Here is a 16,954-nt window from a genome sequence, read left to right as displayed (position 1 = left end):
CAGGCCTGGAGTGGTGAGGTAGTGGTGGCCTGCTTCTTGGTTGCAGATGGCCCCGTGTCAGGAGGGTGTGAAATGGGGGTGGCTCTTTCCCTTTTGCAGGGGTGTTGTGTTTGTGGTATTATTTAGTGTGTCACATAGGGAGCACTTCCCTCGTGTCTCACAGCAGGATGTCCTGGTCAGGAGGGGTGTGTGGCAGTAGACAAGGCTGTCACAGGGTTTGGGACAGAGGACGGGAAAGCGGAAGGGACCAGGCTCACACAGAGGTTTTCTGTGTGAGCGTATGGCATTGAGCTTTGTGTACGTTTACAAAGAGTCCATTTAACCCTCATAGAAATCCTGTGGTATTACTTACCATACCCATTATTCAGATGAGGAAACTGAGGCCCCAGGTGAGAAGAGATTCATTCACCATTCCACAGTTAGTAAGCGATGGCCAGGATTTGGGTCCCGGTTCTCCAGCTTGAAGTCCTGGGCCCTTGTGTGTGCACTGTTGCCAGACCCCGCTCCTTCTGCTGTGTGCTGGTGGTTGCCCCTTCCCACTTCCTCTTGCTGGTTGCAGAGGTGCTGGTAAGGAGCCCTGGGATGGGAGGAGAAGCCTTGGGTTCAGAGTCAGCCCCCCACTAGCCATATGCATGACCTGGGTGAGGTGTAAGTTGCTCCAATTCACACTTTCCTTCTTTAAGATGTGAAAGGGCTCCCTACTCTCCCTAAGGCACAGGAGCTTGGAGGTATGATCAAAGATATCAAAGCACCTCAAGGAGGTGACAGCCTGGTCCTCTGATGTTGTATTTTCCCATCTGTGCTGGAGAACACAGAAGGTCCTTCTCCTTGGTGCATGGTGGGCGCATCTAAGCTTAAAATTGTCTCAACCTGTGGGACATGTTGTCAGTGCTTCCAAAGAAACAACAAACTGTTCGGAACTTGTGCTTTTTCTCACCTGTTTCAATTCTATTTTTTCTTTCTTTTTCTTTTTCTTTCTTTTCCAATTAGAATTTTAAAGTGTTCCTCAACTAAATGGTCCTATTCCTTATCAACACTTCTGTATTAGTTTGTTCTCATATTGCTATAAGAAACTACCTGAGACTGGGTAATTCATGAAGAAAAGAGGTTTAATTGACTCACAGTTCTGCAGGCTGTACAGAAACCATGGCTGGGGAGGCCTCAGGAACAATCATGGTGGAAGGCAAAGGGGAAGCAGGCACGTCTTCACATGGCAGAGCAGGAGGAATAGAGTGAAGCGGGAGGTGCTACACACTTTTAAACAACCAGATCTTGGGCTGGGTGTGGTGGCTTACACCTGTAATCCCAGCACTTTGGGAGGCTGAGGCGGGCAGATCACGAGGTCAGGAGATCGAGACCATCCTGGTAACATGGTGAAACCCCGTCTCTACTAAAAAAAAATACAAAAAAATTAGCCGGGCATGGTGGCAGTTGCCTGTTGTCCCAGACACTTGGGAGGCCGAGGCAGGAGAATGGTGTGAACCTGGGACGTGGAGCTTGCAGTGAGCCGAGATTGCACCACTGCATTCCAGCCTGGGTGACAGAGAGAGACTCTGTCTCAAAAAAACAAAACAAAAACAAACAAACAACAATAAAAAAATAACCAGATCTCATGAGAACTCACTCACTGTCACAAAAACAGCAAGGGGGAAGTTCTGCCTCCATGATTCAATCACCTCCTACCAGGCCCTTCCTCCACCATTGGGAATTAAATTCAACATGAGATTTGGGTGGGGACACACAGCCAAACCATATCATTTCACCCTGCACACCCCCCGCAAAATCTCATGCATGTCCTTCTCACATTTCAAAACACAATCATGCCTTGTAACAAGTCTCCCAGAGTCTTAACTCATTCCAGCATTAACTCAAAAACCCAAGTCCAAAGTCTCATCTGAGACAAGGCAAGTCCCTTCCGCCTATGAGCCTGTAGAATAAAAAACTAGATAGGTACTTCCAAGATACAATGGGGATACAGGCATTGGGTAAATGTTCCTGTTCCAAAAGGGAGAAATTGGCCAAAACAAAGGGGCTACAGGCCCCATGCAAGTCTGAAACCCAGCAGGGCAGTCATTAAATATTAAAGCTCTAAAATAATTTCCTTTGACTCCATGTCTTACATCCAGGCCACACCAATGCAAGGGGTGGGCTCCCATCCTGTGTCTCTGCAGGATACAGGCCCTGTGGTTGCTTTCATGGGCTGATGTTGAGTGCCTGTGGTTTTTCCAGGTGCATAGTGCAAGCTATCAGTGGATCTACCATTCTAGGGTCTGGAGGACAGTGACCCTTTTCTCACAGCTCCACTAGGCAGTGCCCAGTGGGGACTCTGGGTGGGCCCCAACCCCATATTTCCCCTCTACACAGCCCTAATAGAGGTTCTCCATGAGGGCTCCGTCCCTGCAGCAGACTTCTGCCTGGACATCAGATGTCTTCATATATCCTCTGAAATCTAAGTGGAAGCTCCCAAGCCTCAACTCTTGCCCTCCGTCCACCTGCAGGCTCAACACAACATGGTAGTCACCAAGGCTTATGGCTTGCACCCTCTGGAACAGCAGCCTGAGATATTTTTGGCCCCTTTTAGCCATGGCTGGAGCTGGAGCAGCTGGGACGTAGGGAGCAGTGTCCCAAGGTTGCACAGGGCAGCGGTGCTCTATCTCCAGCCCATGAAACCATTCTTTCCTCCTTGGCCTGTGAGCTGGTGATGGGAGGGACTGCCATGAAGCTCTCTGAAATGCCTTCCAGGCATTTCTTCCATTGTCTTAGATATTAACATCCGGCTCCTCTTTACTATTACAAATTTCTGCAGTTGAGTTGAGTTCCTTCCTCCCCTGAAAATGGATTTTTCTTCTCTACCACATGGCCAGGCTGCAAATTTTCCAAACTTTCACACTTTGCTTCCCTTTTAAATATGTTTTAGTTTCAGATCATCTCTTTGCTCATGAATATAAGCTTATGCTGTTAGAAGCAGCCAGGGCACATCTTGAATGCCTTGCTGCTTAAAAATTTCTTCCATCAGATACTCCAAATCATTTCTCTCAAGTTCAAAGTTGCACAGATCTCTAGGGTAGAGGTGGCTTGTTCCAGAGGGTGCAAGCCACCAGGCTCTTTGCTAAAGCGTAGCAAGTGTGACCTTTTTTCAGTTCCCAATATGCTCCTTATCTCCATTTGAGACCACTGCAGTCTGGACTTCATTGTCCATATCACTATTAGCATTTTGGTCACATCAGTTTAACAAGTCTCTAGAAGGTTACAAACTTTCCCACGTCTTTCTGTCTTCTTCTGAGCCCTCTAAACCGTCCCAACTTCTGCCTGTTATCCAATTCCAAAGCTGTTTCCACATTTTCATGTATCTTTGTAGCAATGCTCCACTCCTGGTGCCAATTTTCTGTATTAGTCTGTTTTCACATTGCTATAAGGAACTACCTGAGACTGGGTAATTTATTTTTAAAGAAGAGTTTTAATTGACTCACAGTTCCTCAGACTGTACAGGAGGCATGGCTGGAGATGCCTCAGGAAACTCAGAATCATGGCGGAAGGCAAAGGGGAAGCAGGCATGTCTTACATGACTGGAGAAGGAGGAAGAGAGAGCAGAGGGAGGTGCTACACACTTTTAAACAACCAGATCTCATGAGAACTCAGTATGATGAGAACAGCAATTGGGAAATCCACCTGCATGATCCAATCACCTCCCACCAGGCCCCTCCTCCAACACTGAGGGTTACAATTTGACATGAGATTTGGGTGGGGACACAAAGTCAAACTATATTAACTTCCCATATGCTCAGACCCTTCTGGTGAGAGTGTGCTAGGCCAGTCCTTGATGGTGCCTGCTGTCTTGGGATGATTGTTAATAAGGCTCATGATGACTCTGTCCCAGTGGGGTGAGAGATATTCTGGTCACCCTGTGTTATTGTCAGCTGCCTGGAATGTCACTTGACATTTAGCGTGTTCACTCAGTATACTGAGAGTCAGGTGATCATCGGCTATATGTTGTTGGATTATTGGAGGTTTTATTGCTCCTTTGCATAGATAGCTAGGTTTCGTATTAGTTTTTCATTACATAAAAGCAAAATATGCTTGAAAAAGTGTAAATAGCATACAGAGTTTAGGGGAAAGTCCTCCTCTCCCCACCCTTGCTTTCTCAGTCTCCCACCCAAGGTCATAGAATTGCCATTGTTCACTGTTTCTCGTGTCTTTCCAGATGCTTCTGTGTGCAGAGCAGTACGTGTTTGAGGGGCACACTCGGTGCTGAGTGTGCACCTTCTCAGAGGGTACCTGCTGGCCTGCATGGGCCCAGAACTGCTATAAAGGACCCCCACCAAATTTCCTGTTTCCTTTCCAGCTGCCTCCAGTGCCATCCCTCCAAAGTATGTGAATGGTTCTAAGTGGTATGGCCGTCGGAGCCGGCCTGAGCTATGTGACGCTGCCACAGAAGCCAGACGCGTGCCGGAGCAGCAAACCCAGGCCAGCCTGAAAAGTCACCTCTGGCGCTCAGCGTCTCTGGAGAGCGTGGAGGTGGGTCAGGCCCCTCTCCCACCCCAGCTGCCCAGTGTTGGGAATAACAAATGCTTCCCTTCATCCCTTTTTGTAGCACATAATCACAAGATATGGGGAGGGCAGCCACCGTCTCAGGCACCCTGAGTCGCCAGAAGCTTGGTCACTTTGGGGAGTGCCATTTCATTTAAATTGGGTCTGGTTGTCTTCAGGACAGTCCTGGACACAGGGTTCTCTCCTGAATTAGTGCAATAGAGAATTTCCTCAGACTGTGCAGGAGGCATGGCTGGGGATGCCTCAGGAAACTCACAATCGTGGCGGAAGGCAAAGGGGAAGCAGGCATGTCTTACATGACTGGAGAAGGAGGAATAGAGAGCAGGGAGAGGTGCTACACACTTTTAAACAACCAGATCTCATGAGAACTCACTATCATGAATCCTTTGTATACAACATCTCTCTTTCCCGATACTACCACCAACTCTAGGAGGCAATGTTTATGGCTTCATGGGAGTGAAGCGTCAATGTGCTAAGAGTAGAAAAGGGAAGAAGCCTTTTTGAAACAGCCTCGAGGTTAGGAGTGTGAGTGTGTCAACTCCCAGCCCTACTTATCTTGAACACTTAGTTATACTGAGGCCCAGCACTTACAACTGGCCTGTATGAGCCAATGCGTCCTGGGGCCTTGGAAGTTGCTTCCCTGTCCCCCAGGCTCCCTGGGTCATTTGCTGCAGGTGCCTGGGATGCAGGGATCACCCAAGGAGAGGGGGATGGGCCCAGGAGATGGCTGCCAGAGTCTCGTGGGGCTTCACGTTAAGAAATATGTCCATGGGGCAGGTCCACAGCTTGTAAGTTAATCATGGATTGGGTCGAACCATTTTCAAGGATTCCAAAAGGTTCCTGGTTCCTGCTCTCTGTGCTCTCAGCTTCTGCCAGGTGGGTCTCGATCAGGAGCACATCCTTCTTAGACAGGTCGGGCCCCCAGGTGGACTTGTTTACCATTTGTTTTCAACATTTGTGGAGACAAAGAGGGAAAACAACCAAAATATATTTAAATCTTAGAGTCTTTTTTCTCAGGGGCATGTGACATCTAGGCGATGCCAGTAAATCCAGAACATTCCTTTTTTGTTCTTTTTTAAAAATTTGGACCTCAGGGATGGAGAGATAGTGAATCTCCTCCTTGTGGTGGATCTTCATTGGTGCCATTCTGCTTCTTAAATCATCTTTGATTCTCAAAACCTGAACACGGGGAAAGCCGCCTTTAGGGTTGTCAGTGGAGTTGAACTCATTAAAAAAATGGGGTTGCGTATTTATCACCAACTCACAGATTCTCCCTGATCAGAGCCAGTGCCAGCTTTGAAGCATACAGAGTCTTGGTCACCAGGCATCCATTCCACAGTCAGTTGTGGGGACACACAACACCTGGACAAATCAGACTTTGATTCCAGTTGGCTGACGCAGTCACTGCAGCACGAGGTTTTTACTTAAGTCGCGTGTTTCTTGATGGCCCGGGCTCTTGTCTTGGGTACAGATTTGCAAAGGCTGCTGGAGTGTGAGGTGGTTACCAGGCGCTGTGCTATCCCGGAGCCCTTGGAGGGATACAGAAACCTGCTCTCACCTTGCGACTGTTTGCTGAACTGATATGGTTGGTGAGGGAAAGGTGCAGAGAGGCGTGTTGCAAGCCTTGTATGGCGAGCGTGTCCTGAGACTGAATGATTGGCTGTGGCTGCAGGGCTGGCTTCTTTCAAGTGCTGGGTCTGAAGCCATCACCATGCAGAGGGGGACAGCTTCTGTGCTGCTATGACACGAGTGTTTGATTGTATTTTCAGTGTCAACTGTTGATGACTGGGTTTATATTGAGGAGCCCCGAGCGTGCAGAACAAGGCATGTCCCCTGTCTCCCCGGCCCAGCCCCTTGCTGCTGCTAGGCGGGGCTCACCTGGGTCTGCTAGCTGGCATGCAGGGCAGCCCCAAGGTGGGGGTGGGCTTTTCCTCTGAGGGATTGACTCCATACTCAGCCATCCCCCACTTCCCCAAACATCCTGCTCTATTTGTTCCCGGTGCTCCGTCCCCAGCAGCACCCCCTGGAACTCACAGCCTTCTCTCTGCATCTTTCTACAGAGTCCCAAGTCAGATGAAGAGGCCGAGAGCACTAAAGAAGCTCAGAATGAATTATTTGAAGCACAAGGTAAAGCCTCAGCCTCGCATTCAGTGCTCTCTGCCTTTGCCCAGAGCTTTGAAAGCTGAACAGCCGGGTCATTGGGCAGTGTGCAACCACAAGTTTAATTTCCTGGGAAATGCATGGGGTGGGTTGTGTCCCGCTGGATTCTTCCTCCTGCAGGAGTGGTCAGAATGTCATCATCACAGCAGTGAGGCCGTCACTCGGTCCTCATCCTCCCAAGGTCAGACCCAGGGGCAGAGGCCCGTGGCCGAGGGAGCATCGTGGTTCGTCACACTTTATGGTCTGCAAGTACTGATGTGACCCCAGCTGGCAGGTGTGGCCCTGTGGTTTCAGGCAGGAGGGCCTTGCTTGGCCCTGTCACCTCAGACTGCCCCTGCACCTCCTTCCTGGCACGCTGGGCTAGATACAGCCTCTCCCTTGCTGTGCAGGGGCAGTCTCAGCACCCACCAGGGTTTTATCTGTCTCACAAATGGAGTGTAATACCTGGTCCTGGAGCTCAGAGCCTTACATAGCAGCCAGAAGGCCAGCAGCTGGTACACATAAGCAAATCATAGCATGCAGCCTCACAGCGCTGTGCAGCGTGCAAGGGGAGGCTGACCATCCATGCTGCCGTGGTGCCCTCTGCAAGATCTGGCATTTTGGGAAGATAAGCTACATGCAGGAGCATGATTGAGACTTCAGCTCCCTCACCGCATTTCTGGAGGGACATGCATTACATATGTCATGGGGACAGAAAGCTAGGCAAAAAAACTTCCCAGTGGATCCCCCTGGGGAGAGGAACAAAGGCTCTGGGAAGGGAGGACTTCTTTTTAATTTTAATTATCTTGTGTTTGCCTATAATACTTCCTTGACATTAAAAAGCAAACAAATATATTAATTATGAATCCTAGAGTATTTTGGATAGAAAAGACCAACACCTATGCAAACAATGTGAAAACAGAAGATTCTGTGGAAGTTACTGCTGACTTACATGATGCCTGCAAGAGTGAAGAAAGGGGCCCCACAGAAAGGTGGGTGTGAGAGGATCAGTGTGGTGGCCAGACGCTGAGCTCTAAGGAACTACCCAGGTGTGAAGCTGGCAGCCTGGCTAACCCTTGCAGCAGGCTTGGCATAATCTGAGCATCCCTCCTCTCAGAGCAGCTTGGGGCTCAGGAGTGAGGTCTTGCCGAGCTTGGGAACAAGAGCTGAGGTTCACACCAGGCCCTTACAATCACAGCACAAGCTTTTACACTGCTGCTGCAGAGCTTCTCCAAGGAGCAGGGCTGCAGTGCTCAAGGAAGGATTGGAGAAGGTGAGAGACTTAGGATGGACTGCATTGCATCTGGGGCCTCTGTTGGGACACTTGAAGGCTGGGTCTGAAATCATATGAAGCGTCACTGATGCGTCTGGGCTGGAGGAGCTCAGCTGAGGACAGTCTCGGAGGGGTTGCAGCAGGCCTCAGCGTGGCTGGGCTTCCTTACAGCATGGCGGCTGAAGATAGTCAACTGTCTCACCTGGTGGCTTAGGGCACTAAGGACATGTGGTCCCAAAAACAGGGCTGGGATTTCCTCACTGAGTTCAGGCCAGCCTCAAAGTCACAAAGCATCCCTTCCACCACATTCTATTGATCAGAGCTGTCACAAGCCTACCAGATTCAAGGAGAAGGGACACAGACCTGAAGGGAAGAGTGTCAAAGAAATTTGAAGCCACATTTCCAAACTGCCTCACATGGGCAGGCTGAAAGGAAGAGGGAAGGCAAAGAGGGGCAAAGTTAGAACAGGGGGGTGTCATGTGCTTCAGGAAAGAGGAAGGCCGGAGGCATTGATGGACGTGTAGGGAGCAAACTGCGGGATCCTTAGCAGCCAGGCATGTACGGTGCAGGTGTAGGGAGTGCAGGATGCTGCCATGGCCTTTGAGGAGGCAGTGATGAAAGGAGCTAGTGTTTCAGGGTGCAGGGATGCAGGTGACTGGGGAGGAGAGGCTGGAGCCCGGCTGAATGCCGAGAGCCCTCTTCAGGCTGCCAGCGCCCCCCAGCTCCCCCTGTTGTAGAAGGACCAGGGTGGCAGCATTGCGTGTGTCCCCTTGTAGGAGGCATGAAGCCATCCCAGGAAGTCATCAGGCTGCACTGGATCCCACTGGTGAGGTGTGGGCAGGGTCAGTGGCTCCCAGTCAGTGCCCTGTACCCCGGGAACCCCCAACTCCAGACAGGGTGCCCCGCCATTCCCTTTGCCCTGGGCTGGGCTGCAGGCCAGGCAGGCCGCTGACCATGCAGGGCAGGGAGTAGCACTGGTCTGTATTCCTTAGTCCTGTGAGCAGTTTTACTGTCTTTCCAGGCTTTTCTGTGTGAGTCAGTGGATGCCCTAATGAGGCCTCCCCACACAGGCGGTTACGTGGGCTGACTGTGCAGAAACATAGCTTGGATAGAGGGCATTGCCCTGGGATTTCTGCCAAAGTAAACAGCACCCCTTGGACCATGATCCTTGAATGCCAGGGCCATTTTTTGTTCAACTTTTGTCTCAGTAAATGTCAGGGAAACTGACCTGAGCTTCCAGCTGTGGTGCTGGACAAAGCAGGCAGATTCCTGTGTGCTGAGAAAAGTCAGCCAAGCTGCCGTGTCTTACATCCTTGAACTTGATGTCTAGATCTAGAGCAGCGAAGGGAAGGGCTCGCAGGAGGCTGTTTTTCACCCAGCAATTTCAGTGTTCTCTGCCCCAACCAGGTTGGGGTTCCTTCCAGCAGTTTACAGAAACCTTTGTACAGGATCAGAGCTGACAGACGGTAGTGCACACACACTCGTGTCAAGCTCAGAGGACTTGCCCGACCTCTTCTGCCAGCCTAAGAAATAACCCAGTATCAGGATTGCTTTCACATTTTTCCTTGGAGATTTCAGGCATCTTAGGCCGGAAGGGACCTCGAAGGTGGCCTTTTCTTACCCATCCCTTTCCTCTTGTTTTCCTCAACCCAACCCACAGTGTCATTTGTGAGCACACAGTCTGGCTTCCTTTGGGGGATGGTGGCTTTCCCGTTACCAGCAGGGTTATCAGTAATTCACACCCACATGGCTCATCTACCTGAAGGATCCAGACTGCTGAAGCAGAACTGCAACACTAAAGTCTGTGTTGGGTGGAAGCAGCCATGTCCCTGCTCTGGGCTAGGTGGTGTGGATGAGGCATAGAGGAACATGTCTGGCTGGACACATAGCTCACCATAGGAACATGTCTGGCTGGACATATAACTCACCATGGACACTTTCTGCTGGACACCCAGTGTCTGTCCTCATTCTCAAGCTGTTTCCACAGCTTCAAACACATCAAGAAGATAAGCGGCTGAAGACAAAGGTTAGGAAAAGTGGCCATCCACCACCTGAGCCCGCTGATGAGTCCTAAAGACACCAGTGCCTCCTGAGTGAGGTGTGCGGAGGACACAGCACCACCTGCAAAAAAAAAAAATGTTGAGGCTGCAGCAAACTAGACTTTGATGCTAACTCAGGTTTTCAGGAAATGTTAAGGATGGAGGAGCTCATTAGATGACACCCTGGGGAAGCAAGCAGATAGATCCGGATGTGGAACATTCCACAAAACAGTGGGTCTGATTTCTTTAAAAAGGCATGGGCTATGGGGATTTGGGAGAGGTGTTTGTGGTTGAAAGATGTGAGAGGAATAACAGCCAAGGGCATCCTGAACAGTTTGGATGCTGGTTCAAACAAATCAACTGTAAGAATATATGTTTGAGACACTTGGGAAAATCCTGTTGATTTTGTTAGGTATGATAGTGGCATTGCGGTGATGTAAGAATATATATATTTTTTCTAGAGATATGAATCAAATATGTGGGGCAGAAGTAACATGAGATCTGCGATTTCAGATACCCCAGATGGATCCAGACTCATGATGTTTTGACTCAACGATTTTTCAACTTCTTGATGGTGTGAGGTCAATATGCATTCAGTAGAAGCCGTCCTTCAGTGTCCATGGGACCGTTGTGATCTTCACTTTCAGTACAGTGTTCAGTAGATTACATGAGACATTGAACACATTAGTCTAAAATAGGCTTTGTGTTAGAGAATTTTGCCCCACTGTTGGTTAATGTGTTCTGAGATGTGTAAGGTAGGCCAGGCCCAGTTACGATGTTGGTGGGTTAGGTATATTCAGCACATCTTTGACTTGACATTTTCAGCTTATGGTGGGGTTGCTGGGCTGTAGCTCCATCATAAGTCGGGGAGCATCTGTACTTCTAAACACTTCAGCCGTAAGAAAAGCGGGTAGAGAAGAAGCCTGTGGCAGGCTGCTGTCATAGTGCAGTCTGAGCAGCAGGTGCTGTGGGCTTCACTTTACTCTTTGCTCTGTGTAAGTTAGAAAAGTTTTCAAAAATTAAGCTATTGAAAGACTGGTCTTTTTATTGTAAATACAAATAATAGAGCCCTCACCCTCTTTTTTTTCTGAGACAGAGTATTCTTCTGTAGCCCAGGCTGGAGTGCAGTGATGTGACCTCGGCTCACTGCAATGTCCGCCTCTTGGGTCCATGCAGTTCTCTGCCTCAGCCTCCCGAGTAGCTGGGATTCCAGGCGGCTGCCATCACACCCGGCTAATTTTTGTATTTTTAGTAGAGACGGGGTTTCACCAATTTGGCCAGGCTGGTCTTGAACTCCTGACCTCGTGATCTACCCGCCTTGGTCTCCCAAAGTGCTGGGATTACAGGCGTAAGCCACCGCGCCCAGCCCCTCTGCCTCTTTTAAGTGCTTGCATGGCTGACCATAGAAGGTTCTCTTCAGAAAGAATTTTCCCCATTACAGGCAGATATTTTCCCCCAAGATTTATTTTGAAAATTTGTAAACAGAGTGAAGTGCAAACAACTGTGGCATGAAAACCCATGTACCAACCACCTAATTCCACCTTTGGTGCTTTGCAGCTCCCCTTTGTCCGTCCATCCATCCCTCTGTCTGTCCATCCATCCTGCTATCTGTCCATCCATCCAGCCCTCTATCCATCAATCCATCTGATTTCAGAGTCACTGACCAGCATTGCTGTGCTTCCCCGAAATGCTTCAGCCTGGAGCACAGGACTTAACTGTTGCTGGTTTTTCTCCCCAGCCTTATTGAGGTGTGATTGACAAATAAAAATTGTATATATTTAAGGTGTACAATGTGATGATCTGAGACATGTGTACATTGTGAAATGATGACCACAGTCCAGCCAGTTAACACGTCCATCTCACCTAGTTATGTGTGTGTGCTGAGAACACTTGAGATAGACTCTCTTAGCAAACTTCAAGGAAGCAATCGGATCTTATTAACTGTAGTCACCGTGCTGTACATTAGGTGACTCCAGAACTTACTCATCTTGTAACTGAAAGTGACCCCCCCCCAACCAGCATCTCCCCCACCACCCAGCTCTGTAGCCACCCTTCTACACCCTGCTCCTGTGAGTTCCCCTTTCCTTAGATCCCACATGTGAGTGAGATCTCACGGTGTTTGTCTTTCTGTGTCTGCTAATTTCACTTAGCGTAATGTCCTCCACATTCATTCACGCTGTTGGAAAGGGCAGAACGTCCTTCTTTCTAAGGCTGAGTCGTGCTCCATTGTGTATGTATCAGGGTGTAACTGTGACTCCTCCCTTGCTTCAGGACAGCTGCAGACCTGGGATTCTGAGGACTTTGGGAGCCCCCAGAAGTCCTGCAGCCCCTCCTTTGACACCCCAGAGAGCCAGATCCGGGGCGTGTGGGAAGAGCTGGGGGTGGGCAGCAGCGGACACCTGAGCGAGCAGGAGCTGGCTGTGGTCTGCCAGAGCGTCGGGCTCCAGGGACTCGAGAAAGAGGTGAGGGGCACAGCAGGCCACCCAGCCACATATTCCTGGCCATGGTCACGGTTTAGTGTTGGGTCTGGAAACCCCTCTACCCTTCAGCCACTCATGTAGGTGCATCACTTTCTAATCTAAAATCCTTTGGTGGCTCTTGGCATTTCTGCCAAAGGCTAAAATCTCCAGACACCTTTGAAAGCCCGTCTCTGATGGAGTTGCCCAGTCTCACCGACTCCCTGCCACGCTCAGGTGTAGCAGGCACTTCCTGTTCCTTCACTGACATCCTTCCTCTGCCTGGATGCCTTTCCCCCTTCTCTGTGTGGCCGGGTTCCACTGCGCAGCCAAGACAAGGCCTCCAAGACAAGGCCCCCAAGCCTGTCCTCACTCTCCAGTGGCCATGTTCCTTCTCCTCCTGGGTGGGAGGCCAGTCTGCCTTGCTGGAGTTCTTCTCAGCCCTGTGTCCTTGCTGGGCCTCACACTGCAGGGCCTGGCCTTGCTCAGCATCCCGCAGGATCCAGCCCCAGCAGACACTGAATAAGCATTTGTAGAACTGGGAAGTTCAGGTGACACCCACTCACAGTGAAATGGAAACCAAGGCCTGTGGGTTTTACAAGATAGAGGGAGGGGTCGGCTTGGGAAAATATAGCCCGCATGGTCTACACAGTTTTAAGGCTGGATAAGACTAGGAAACGGCCCTTGTTGGGTACTTGGAACCAGAGGGAGGGAGGGAGGGAGGCCCTGGTGAGGGCGGTTGGGTGGAGCTCTTGTGGGTGGGCCTGAGATATGACGGCTTTTGTTTAGGAACTCGAAGACCTGTTTAACAAACTGGATCAAGACGGAGACGGCAAAGTGAGTCTTGAGGAATTCCAGCTTGGCCTCTTCAGTCATGAGCCCGCGCTACTTCTAGAGTCTTCCACTCGGGTTAAACCGAGCAAGGCTTGGTCTCATTACCAGGTAAAATGCAACAGTTAAATCCTGAACCCAGCAACCACTGCTGTCACTCTCTGGTGACTAAAACTGCTGACTCCCTCCCTGCCTGTGTCACCACACAACAAGCTGTCCAAGAACTGGACAGGCCATGCACACACGCATGTATATGGGAGGCCACGTGACGTAGATTCTGGAGCCACATAGATTTGGGGTGGGTCCAGTGTTGCTCTTCCCTGGCTGTGTGTCACTAGGGGAGTTACCTTCTCCAAGCCTCAGGCTCACGTGTAAGATGGGGGTGGTTCGGGTGCACACCTCCTGGGACTACAGAAGGCAATGCTCAGCTGAGGAACATGGCAGCTCAGGTGCCCACCCGATGCAACAGAAGGCAGTGCTCAGGTGAGGAACGTGCTGCTCAGGTGCCCACCTCCTGGGGCTACAGAAGGCAGTGCTCAGGTGAGGAACGTGCTGCTCAGGTGCCCACCTCCTGGGGTTACAGGAGGCAGTGCTCAGGTGAGGAACGTGCTGCTCAGGTGCCCACCTCCTGGGGTTACAGGAGGCAGTGCTCAGGTGAGGAACGTGCTGCTCAGGTGCCCACCTCCTGGGGTTACAGGAGGCAGTGCTCAGGTGAGGAACATGGCTGCTCAGGTGCCCACCTCCTGGGGTTACAGGAGGCAGTGCTCAGGTGAGGAACATGGCTGCTCAGGTGCCCACCTGCTGGGGTTACAGGAGGCAGTGCTCAGGTGAGGAACGTGCTGCTCAGGTGCCCACCTGCTGGGGTTACAGGAGGCAGTGCTCAGGTGAGGAACTTGCTGCTCAGGTGCCCACCTGCTGGGATTACAGGAGGCAGTGTTAAGGTGAGGAACATGCTGCTCAGGTGCCCACTTCCCAGGGCTACAGAAGGTAGTGCTCAGGTGAGGAATGTGGCAGCTCCTCAGCCTGTGCTGTGATATGCCCCAGCAAGAAAACTCCCTCCCGTCCTCCCCATTGTGGAATGGTGAGGGCAATGTTTCTGTGTTAGTCTGTTCTCGCATTGCTAAAGGAATACTTGAGACTGGGCAATTTATAAAGAAAAGAGGTTTAATTAACTCACGATTCTGCAGGCTGTGCAGGAAGCATGGTGCCAGTGTCTGCTCGGCTGCTTCTGGGGAGGCCTCAGGAAGCTTACAATCATGGCAGAAGGTGAAGGGGTGCAGGCAGGTCACATGGCCAGAGCAGGAGCAAGAAAGCGAGGGGGGAGGTGTGACACACTTTTAAACAACCAGGTCTCATGAGAATTCACTCACTATCATGAGGTCAGTACTAAGAGGGATGGTGCTAAACCATTTGTGAGAAATCTGCCTCCAAGATCCAGTCACCTCCCACCAGGCCCCACCTCCAACATCGGGGATTACATTTTAATATGAGATTTGAGCAGGAACACAGATCTAAGCCATATCAGTTGCCAAAGGATCCATCGAGTCTGTCTAAGATTGGTCCTGATAGTATCCCTTAACCTGTGCTCTATCTCTTGCACAAATACCGGGTCTCTCTGCAGTTTGAGGAGACCAGGGCATGGCTGCTCAGGGGCTGGATACTTCCTTGCTGCTGCAATTGGTCCTGAATTTGGTGAGTGGTGTTGTAGGACCAGTAGTGCTGTTCTGCACTGGGGGTAGGTACACCTGAGAATCTAGGTTTCTGACTCTAAAGTCAATGAGGGCCGGGCATGGTGGCTCACGTCTGTAATACCAGCACTTTGGGAGGCCAAGGCGGGCGGATCATTTGAGGTCAGGAGTTGGAGACCAGCCTGGCTAACATGGTAAAACCCTGTCTCTAGTGAAACTACAAAAATTAGCCACTTGTGGTGGTACACATGTGTAATCCCAGCTACTCAGGAGGCTGAGGCAGGAGAATCACTTGAACCTAGGAGGCAGAAGTTTCAGTGAGCTGAGATCGCATCACTGCACTCCAGCGTGGGTGACAGAGTGAGACTCTGGCTCAAATAAATAAATAAATTTAATTTAATTTAAAAACCTAAATAATTTAGAAACCTGGTGAAAAAAATCAATGAGGACCCGGCACAGTGCTCATGCCTGTAGTCCCAGCAGTCTGGGAGGCCAAGGCAAGCAGATCACTTGAGCCCAGGAGTTTGAGAGAAGATGAGACAACATTGTGAGACCCCATCTCAAAGATTTGAAAATTATCTAGGTGCGGTTGCACATGCCTATGGTCCCAGCTACTTGGGAGGCTGAGCAGGAGGATCACTTGAGTCCAGGAGGTGGAGGCTGCAGTGAGGCTAACATCAGTGAGAACGACAAAGAAGAAACTCAGAAGCCAGCACTGAGGAAGGGTCAGGCAGCCATGTAAGGCCAGAATGATCAACATGAGGTCCCACAGGTCATGCTTAGTGTGGGTTGGGGAGATGCCTCCTGAGCTGGCTTGCCTTCATTGTCGAACCCCATGAGTGGCCATGAGCCACTCATGCTGCATTCTGAGGGTCTGGGGGTGTGTGCGCCTCTGCCTGGGCCAGCGCACTTCTGCCCTTCCAGCCTGCCTTGGGTTTCTTTTCACAGCTGAGACTTTCCTGGTGCTGGCATGGACTCTATGGGCCCCTGCCTCTGCGAGGCCAGGCTCCCGCCTTTGTGAATTCAAGGGTGGAACGTTAAAACTCCTTTGTCGTCCCTCTCCAAGTGATGAGTGTGCTGACTGGGGCTGGCCGGTTGGGCCACGTGGGTGCAAGGCCTCAGAGTCCTGGGTGTTGGGGGCCTTGGTTGCATGTCCCGACTTTCTTACCTGCACAGCCATGTGACCTTGGAGAGGTCATGTGATGGGGCTGCACCTCTGACCCCTCTGAGAGCTGAGGATGGTCTCATGAGCTGTTCCTGTGAGGCCCTCTGAGCACAGGCTGGGGAGGGTGGAGAGCACATCAGCAGCACACAGGCGTGAGGCTTTGGACGCTGGGCGCTATGGAAGTCTTCCTGACATGCAGGTCCCAGAGGAGAGCGGCTGCCACACCACCACAACCTCATCCCTCGTGTCCCTGTGCTCCAGCCTGCGCCTCTTCTCCAGCATTGACGATGGTTCTGGCTTCGCTTTTCCTGATCAGGTCCTGGCCATGTGGACCCAGGAGGGGATTCAGAATGGCAGGGAGATCTTGCAGGTTTGGAACTGGGTGATGCCTAAGCTGGACAGGGGACCTGGGGGGCCCGTCTGCTGCAGAGGAGGATGGATGGAGCGTCCCAAGCCAGGGGACCCAGCAGGGGTGTGTGCTCTGTGCAGAGAATGCCATGCAAGGAAGTCCAGGTAGAAACCTATCTCTTTTAATTTTTGTTACTAAAATATAGGACATTATAATTTAAAAAGATAAGAAATAAAACACAAAGTTAGTGTGAAAAAGTCCATTTGAAGGTAGCCTTTAGTGGCTTAGACATTTCCCCTGAATGTTGGGCCAAGGAGGTTAGATGAATGGAAAGAAATTGCCTGTTGTGATGATGACGATTTCTGTTGGGCACCACTGTTACAGCAGTTACTGATGATCTCAGAGTGAGCCCGGACTCTCCTGGAGCCCCTGCCTGGCTGGTTGAGCTGTTCTCCCCCATGGCGCC

At 50.7% G+C, this 16,954-nt stretch overlaps 1 protein-coding gene across 24 annotated transcripts in view, besides 2 other annotated features; it reads left to right on the top strand.

The window, feature by feature from the left end:
* The window catches only part of NINL (ninein like), a 132,835-nt gene that overhangs the window by 68,183 nt on the left and 47,698 nt on the right, over nt 1-16,954 (top strand). For 19 of the 24 annotated variants that reach the window (XR_007067446.1, XR_007067445.1, NM_001318226.2 and 16 more), the window contains exons 4-8: nt 4,343-4,515; nt 6,609-6,675; nt 12,271-12,461; nt 13,245-13,397; nt 16,339-16,509. Coding sequence is in view for 22 of the 24 variants with exons in the window: in NM_001318226.2 (NP_001305155.1) it covers nt 4,343-4,515; nt 6,609-6,675; nt 12,271-12,461; nt 13,245-13,397; nt 16,339-16,509 (755 nt within the window). In the remaining 2 variants the exon portion in view is untranslated. Of the gene's footprint in view, nt 1-4,342; nt 4,516-6,608; nt 6,676-7,559; nt 7,680-12,270; nt 12,462-13,244; nt 13,398-16,338; nt 16,653-16,954 lie in introns of those variants that run through there. The other 5 variants (XM_047440029.1, XM_047440028.1, XM_047440031.1 and 2 more) reach the window with 3 other exon arrangements.
* Nucleotides 8,962-9,256: an enhancer, noted in NCBI's record as "tiled region #10548; HepG2 Activating DNase matched - State 5:Enh". NCBI's record gives its function as "activates a minimal TATA promoter and a strong SV40 promoter by Sharpr-MPRA in HepG2 cells {active_cell/tissue: HepG2}" and the evidence as "EXISTENCE:reporter gene assay evidence [ECO:0000049][PMID:27701403]".
* Nucleotides 13,485-13,996: an enhancer, noted in NCBI's record as "H3K27ac-H3K4me1 hESC enhancer chr20:25483989-25484500 (GRCh37/hg19 assembly coordinates)". NCBI's record gives its function as "activates a minimal SCP1, AML or CMV promoter by ChIP-STARR-seq in primed H9 embryonic stem cells {active_cell/tissue: H9 hESC(primed)}" and the evidence as "EXISTENCE:reporter gene assay evidence [ECO:0000049][PMID:30033119]".

The sequence above is a fragment of the Homo sapiens genome, chromosome 20 (genome assembly GCF_000001405.40).
Source record: "Homo sapiens chromosome 20, GRCh38.p14 Primary Assembly".
NCBI classification, from domain to species: domain Eukaryota; kingdom Metazoa; phylum Chordata; class Mammalia; order Primates; family Hominidae; genus Homo; species Homo sapiens.
The sequence above is the reverse complement of the archived record's forward strand: the minus strand, read 5'-3'. Positions and strand labels throughout refer to the sequence as shown.